Source organism: Homo sapiens, chromosome 18 (genome assembly GCF_000001405.40).
Source record: "Homo sapiens chromosome 18, GRCh38.p14 Primary Assembly".
In the NCBI taxonomy this organism is placed as follows: domain Eukaryota; kingdom Metazoa; phylum Chordata; class Mammalia; order Primates; family Hominidae; genus Homo; species Homo sapiens.
The window spans coordinates 59067350-59073349 of NC_000018.10; the positions used below are offsets into that span (position 1 = coordinate 59067350).

At 44.2% G+C, this 6000-nt stretch overlaps 1 pseudogene across 1 annotated transcript in view, besides 2 other annotated features; it reads left to right on the plus strand.

Annotated features, from left to right (window-relative positions):
* OACYLP (O-acyltransferase like, pseudogene) overlaps positions 1-1960 on the plus strand; it is a 72699-nt pseudogene extending 70739 nt beyond the window's left edge. Inside the window, exons 14-15 of the transcript NR_024021.3 lie at positions 1023-1165; positions 1492-1960. The product of NR_024021.3 is annotated as an O-acyltransferase like, pseudogene (transcript). The remainder of the gene's footprint in view (positions 1-1022; positions 1166-1491) is intronic.
* Positions 5488-5607: an enhancer, noted in NCBI's record as "active region_13406". NCBI's record gives its function as "activates an Ori minimal core promoter by ATAC-STARR-seq in GM12878 lymphoblastoid cells {active_cell/tissue: GM12878}" and the evidence as "EXISTENCE:reporter gene assay evidence [ECO:0000049][PMID:35858748]".
* Positions 5618-5667: an enhancer, noted in NCBI's record as "active region_13407". NCBI's record gives its function as "activates an Ori minimal core promoter by ATAC-STARR-seq in GM12878 lymphoblastoid cells {active_cell/tissue: GM12878}" and the evidence as "EXISTENCE:reporter gene assay evidence [ECO:0000049][PMID:35858748]".

Here is a 6000-nt window from a genome sequence, read left to right on the forward strand (position 1 = left end):
GTGATTCACTACTGAGCACTTTTAATGAGGCTTGTGCAAAGGAGAAACAGAAGTTATATTTTATATCTGTGGCTTAAAACAACAGAAATTTTTTTCTCTCACAGTTCTGGAGGCTAGCTGTTCAAAATCGAAGTGTCAGCAGGGTTGGTTCCATCTGGATTTTCTGAGGGAGAATCTGTCCCATCCCCTCTCCTAGCCTCTGGTAGCTGCTGGCAAGCCTTGGCATTCCTTGGCTCATGGACTCTTCACTCCAGTCTCTGTCTTCGTCATCACATGGTTCTCTTCCTTGTGTCTCTCCTCTGCATTTGTGTCTCCTTTTCTGTCTCTTATAAGGACATTTGTCATTGGGTTTAGGGTCCACCCTAATCCAGGATGATCTCATCTCTAGTTCTTTCTCTTAATGACATCTGCAAAGACCCTTATTCCAAATAAGGTTACATTCTGAGGTTCTGGGTGGACATATCTTTTGAAAGATCACTATGCAACTCACTAGAGATAGCAATAAGTCCTATTCAGAAAGGAAGTTTTCATTGCATTTAATTTTAATTAAGTTAAATAGCCACAAGTGGCTAGGGGCTATTGTCTGGGACAACACAGTTCTAGAATATATACCAAGTTACAGAATATTTGTCCTGAAAGGCACCTACAAATGCAAGCCTCTCACTGACAGAAGAGTTTGAGGCCTGGCAATGTTAAATGCCTTATCCCAACGCCCCCCTGTGGCTGCATCTTGATCCAGAACCCAGGTGAATATGAGGAATTTTTACCTTGTTTTATACATGCAATGTTTTATGCTCAGGGGCTGAAACCATGTATCTCTCTTGTGTTATCATAATTCTTGCAACAGAAAGGTGGTTTTTGGTTTGGTACATTGTCTTAAAATGATAACGCATAAAGACTTTCTTAGGAAAAGTTCACAGACTTAGGCACAGAATGCAATGGGAGCATCGATGGGATGATGGGCATCTTCACTGGCCCAGAGACAGGCTGTGGCTTCATGCATCAGTGCTTGTTCCCTCCAGGTCTGGTGAACCGTGTGCTTTCTTGGGACATCTGGAGTTTCCTGTCCAGCATCAGTTATGCTCGCTACTTGGTGCATCCGATTCTGATCATCCTTTACAATGGCCTTCAGGAAACACTTATTCACCACACTGACACCAACATGGTGAGTTAGCACGCAGCTCCTAGTTCTGTTACGGTAGGTTATGGTATCATAGCTTGTTCTCTTCTTGAGCAACAAGGCAACCTATTTGCTTTCGTGGAAGTCTTTTTTTTTTTTAAGAGCTTCATTGTTCTTTGCTTTATTTGTGGCAGAAAGAGGGAGGGCTTCAGCACAGGATAATATCTTTTATTTTATTTATTTTATTTTTAATATGTAGCACTGATTGTCCTACAGATGCATTTCATAGAGCTAGGATGGTACACTTTAGATCTGAACACAATAGGAATCCCAGAGTAAAACTGTGTTCACCCTGCCCACTTTCTCTCCAGTTCTATCTTTTCTCTGGACACCGTGTGCTGACCTTCGTCACTGGGCTGGCCCTGACGCTGTTCATTGAGAAACCATGTCAGGAACTGAAGCAGCACCTGCTGGGCCATGAATGTTCTGGTTAAAACACAAAAGAATGGATGGGCCTTGTTGGTAATGACGAGCAAAGATGAGGTGGCCTTATCTAGGTGATGAATGCTTGTATTCCCGAGAAGGGGTGTGAATCTCATTTTGTGAAAGTTTAATATATACATTTTCTTTGCATTTAATATGTGAAAGAGTTCTTAGTTCTTATGATGTAAGAGAGTTCTCTAAATTTTTAGTAGCACAATAATAAACTTCTGTTGTACCATTTTAGCAAACAACAACAACAACAACAACAGAAACTGGATTTCTTTTTGGTTTAAACTCCATTTGATTGTCTGTATCAATGATCACAGGAAATGATTAAATGTCGTGCATTTAATGTAATTTGGGTTATGAAGCTCATTTGGGTTATGCTCTTCACTTTTCTCTGTAAAATTACAACATGCAGTATGCACTTTCCCACGACAGAATTGTTTATGTGTTATTATGGCGTCTTTGCAGACTTGTAACTTTATCCTAGAACCTCAGTGGTATGACCCGCTAGCATGCATACTTCATGGGTCTGTCATTATAGGGCCTTTCAAATATCACCTATTCTTCACCATAGTCCCTGTTTTGGACTGAATTGTATCCCCTCCCCCAAAAGCTCTGTTGAAGTCCTAACTCCCATTCCCTCAGAATGTGGCCTTATTTGGAGCCAGGGTCTTTATAGAGATAATGAAGTCCAACGAGGTCACTGGGGATGGAGATTCTAATCCAGTATGACTGGTGTCCTTATAATAAGCAGAAGTTTGGTCACGGAGACAGGCATACACACAGGGAAGACGATGTGAAGACCCAGGGAGAAGACAGTCATGTGCAAACCCAGGAACACCAAGGCAAACCCCAGAAACCGGGGGAGGTAAGGACAGAGTCTGCCCTGGAGCTGCCCGAGAAAGCATGGCCCCGTGGGACACCTCGATTTTGGACTTCTGGCCTCCAGAACTGTGAGATAATTCATGTCTGTTGTTTCAAGCCACCCAGTTTTTGGTACTTTGTCACAGCAGCCCTAGATAGATGGATATCCCTATGCACCAACATAGGGCCTCAACAAAAACTAACAGAGAAGGAAGAGACCTCAGCCAGTGGTTTCCAGCCCAACCCCCTCAATTTGCAGCGATGAGACCTAGAGATGAGGAGAGACTCGCAAGGCCAAACAGAGATGCTAGGATCCAGGCTCTCGGATGTGTGTTTTTTCTAGGTGTATAATTATGCATTAACTGTCTACAGTTATGGATTAATTAAGTCCATTCCATCGCTTATAATAAAGCTCTTTGTGTACTTACTCATTAAAGTATTAACAACCGCAGGCTACAAGGTCCTTATTAGCGTGGGATGCGCCACATCTGAGGATGCTCTTTGCTGTCCAGTGCGTTTGCAAAGATGACCAATGTGGGTGGGGAGGGGAAGGCTGAACGTTTCACACACTCTGATGGCCACGGACAGCTAACCTTGGCCTTGCCAGCCAGCCACGGGGATCATCTCCCTGAGGATGATGAGATGAGAGACCTCATCTCCCTGAGGTCTGGTCCCTCTGCTGAAGAAGCCAACCTGAGGGAGTGGGGCGCCAAGGCTCAACAGCCGCGCTGTGAGAAGGCAGCCTAATTGGCTTTTCAGTGAACGCCGAAGTTCATCGAGTTCCTCGGGAGCCCCCTGGTGGCTTCTTTGGCACCTGAACCCTCTCACTTCGTTAGGCCTCCAAGGAGCTGTTGAGGACCAGTGGCATTTTCAGGGTAACACTGCCACATGGGTGGACTTCGGTGGGAGATGACTCACATGCCAACATCGTTCTGCAGCCAAATTGCCAAATGCTTCCAGTTATGAGGCCAGAAATCTGGGACCCGTGGAAGTAACTAGCTAATGACTGACACAGCATTGGAAAGACTTTTTTATAAGGGAAAAAACCCAACCCTCCTGCTGTTGTAATTTTATATAACATAAGGCAGGGTTAGAGAAATCCAGTTTTGTTCTGGGTTTGTTTCAATCTAGAATTCCCCGGAAGTTTAAGATTTATAGATTGTGTATACCTTATTTGGATTCTGAAACAAATTGTAAAAAAGTATTATGATGTTTATAAGCCTGGAAATTTAAATACTGATTAGGTGATTTGATGATATTAAGGGCTGATTGCACTTTTTATGTAATAATGGTATTGTAGTTATATATTACTACATATATATACATACATTTATATCTCTTATCTTTTAGTTGCATACTAAAATATTTATGAACAAAATGATATAAAATCTGATATTTGCCTCAAAACAATATTGGGTGGAACTGGCATAGATGAAATAAGACTGGCTATGTGGTTAATGTTTGAAGCTGGGTGATGGGTCCATGGAACCTCATGCTTTTTCTCTATTTTCATTTTTATTGTTTTAGAGACAGAGTCTCGCTCTGTTGCCCAGGCTGGGGTGCAGTGCAATATCACACTGCAGCCTCAAACTCCTGGGCTCAAGTGATCCTCCTGCCTCCGCCTCCCAAGTAGTTGGGCCTATAGGTGTGTGCTGCCATACCCAGCTAATTTTTTTTTTTTTTTTTTTTTTTTGAGACAAGGTCTGGCTCTGTTGCCCAGGCTGGAGTGCTGGAGTGTAGTGGTGTGATCACAGCTCACTGCAACCTCTGCTTCCCAGGTTCAAGCAATCCTTCTGCCTCAGCCTCCCAAGTAGCTAGGATTACAGGCATGTGCCACCATGCCTGGCTAATTTTGGTATTTTTTGTAGAGATGGGGTTTCGTCATGTTGCTCAGACTGGTCTCGAACTCCTGGGCTCAAGCAATCCACCCGCCTCGGCCTCCCAAAGTGCTAGGATTACAGGTTGTGAACAACCGCACCTGACCTCCCAGCTAATTTTTTTAAGTTCTTGGTAGAGATGGGGTCTTACTATGTTGCCTAGGCTGGTCTCCAACTCCTGGCCTCAAGGGATTCTTCTCCCTCAGCCTCCCAAAGAACTAGGATTTTAAATACCTAGAGCAGGTATTTAAACCCCAGAAAATTCTGTAAAGGGGCTCTTGAGGCCCTATGCTCAGGCCACTCCCACCTTGGGGTGTCTACATTCATTTTCAATAAATCGCTGCTTTTGTTGCTTCATTCTTTCCTTGCTTTGTTTGTGCATTTTGTTCAATTCTTTGTTCAAAACACCAAGAACCTGGACACCCTCCGCTGGTAACACTTCTAGTAAAGCTCAAAGTTGAGAGGCCCCAGGGTCCTTGAAGGGACGAGAAGCCTTTAGAACTTTAGTCCCTAGACCCCAAGTGGGATTTAAATCAATACTGCTTGTATATGCTGAGAGGCGGCCTCTTTTGGTGGCCTACTCACATTTACACCCCTTCCTCTTTCACTACACAAACCCTGATGTTGTTCCCTTATCAAGGTGCCCATACCAAGGGAAATCATCATATTTGGTAGAAACCAATAATGTGCCTCCTCTTTTTCTTTGCCAGTGACTGGTGCGGGTTTGGGTATGTGACCCAGCTCTGACCAATGACACACAAGGAGAAGTGCCCTGGGGACTTCTGGGAAAGATGGGCATGGCTGAAGAGGGGGACGGACATCATGGAGAAAGTCCTTGTCTTTACCACCTTCAGCCTTGTCACGCTTCTAGATCTGTAAATGTGAAGAAGGACAAGCTTGATGCTCAGAGGCGGACAGAGCAGGATGTCTAGGCTGAGGGAAGCCAGGAGGATGGGGATTCTACAGAAGAGTGAGGGCTGTGTGAATACCGCATCCTGGAGGCTGCCCGATCCCTGCCAGACAGGCCTTGACCCTCCAGGCAGAAGGTTGGCAGCTGCTTCTTTGGGGATTCTGACTGGCCCAAGATGAAATCCCTAAAAATATTGACATTAAAGGCTCTTCCAGAAAAGTCCCAGCCAGATCCCCTCCAGTGAAGCTCACACCATGGGCTCAGAGTAGGGTGATCGACTCAGCCTGGCTTACCTGTGACTTTTTTGGTTTTGGTGCTGAAACTCCCACGTTCTGGGACACCCCTCAGTGTTGGTCACCCTGACTCAAAGCTTCCAGTCAGCTTCTAAGTCCCTCACCCTTAATCATGAGCACAACCAGGGTTACCACAAGCCTGGGAAAAGCCTTTGACATCTGGAAGGGGTAAGACTAAAAGGATTCCACAGAACAAAGGAATTTTGAGAGAGGAGATTATGCAGAGAGAAGAAAACTTAATGAAACTATCACTATCCTTGTAGAGGTAAGAGATCTTGCCCCAGTAAAATAGAAACAGGATGTTAAGACAGAGAAGTGATTCTTCCTTCTTTCACTCATTTGGTTATTGACTCAGTCATTCAGTTAATAACCAAATATTTCTGACAGCTACTTATTATAAGAATGTCAAGAATATTAATATGAATGTCAGAAATCTTGTGCTGTTCC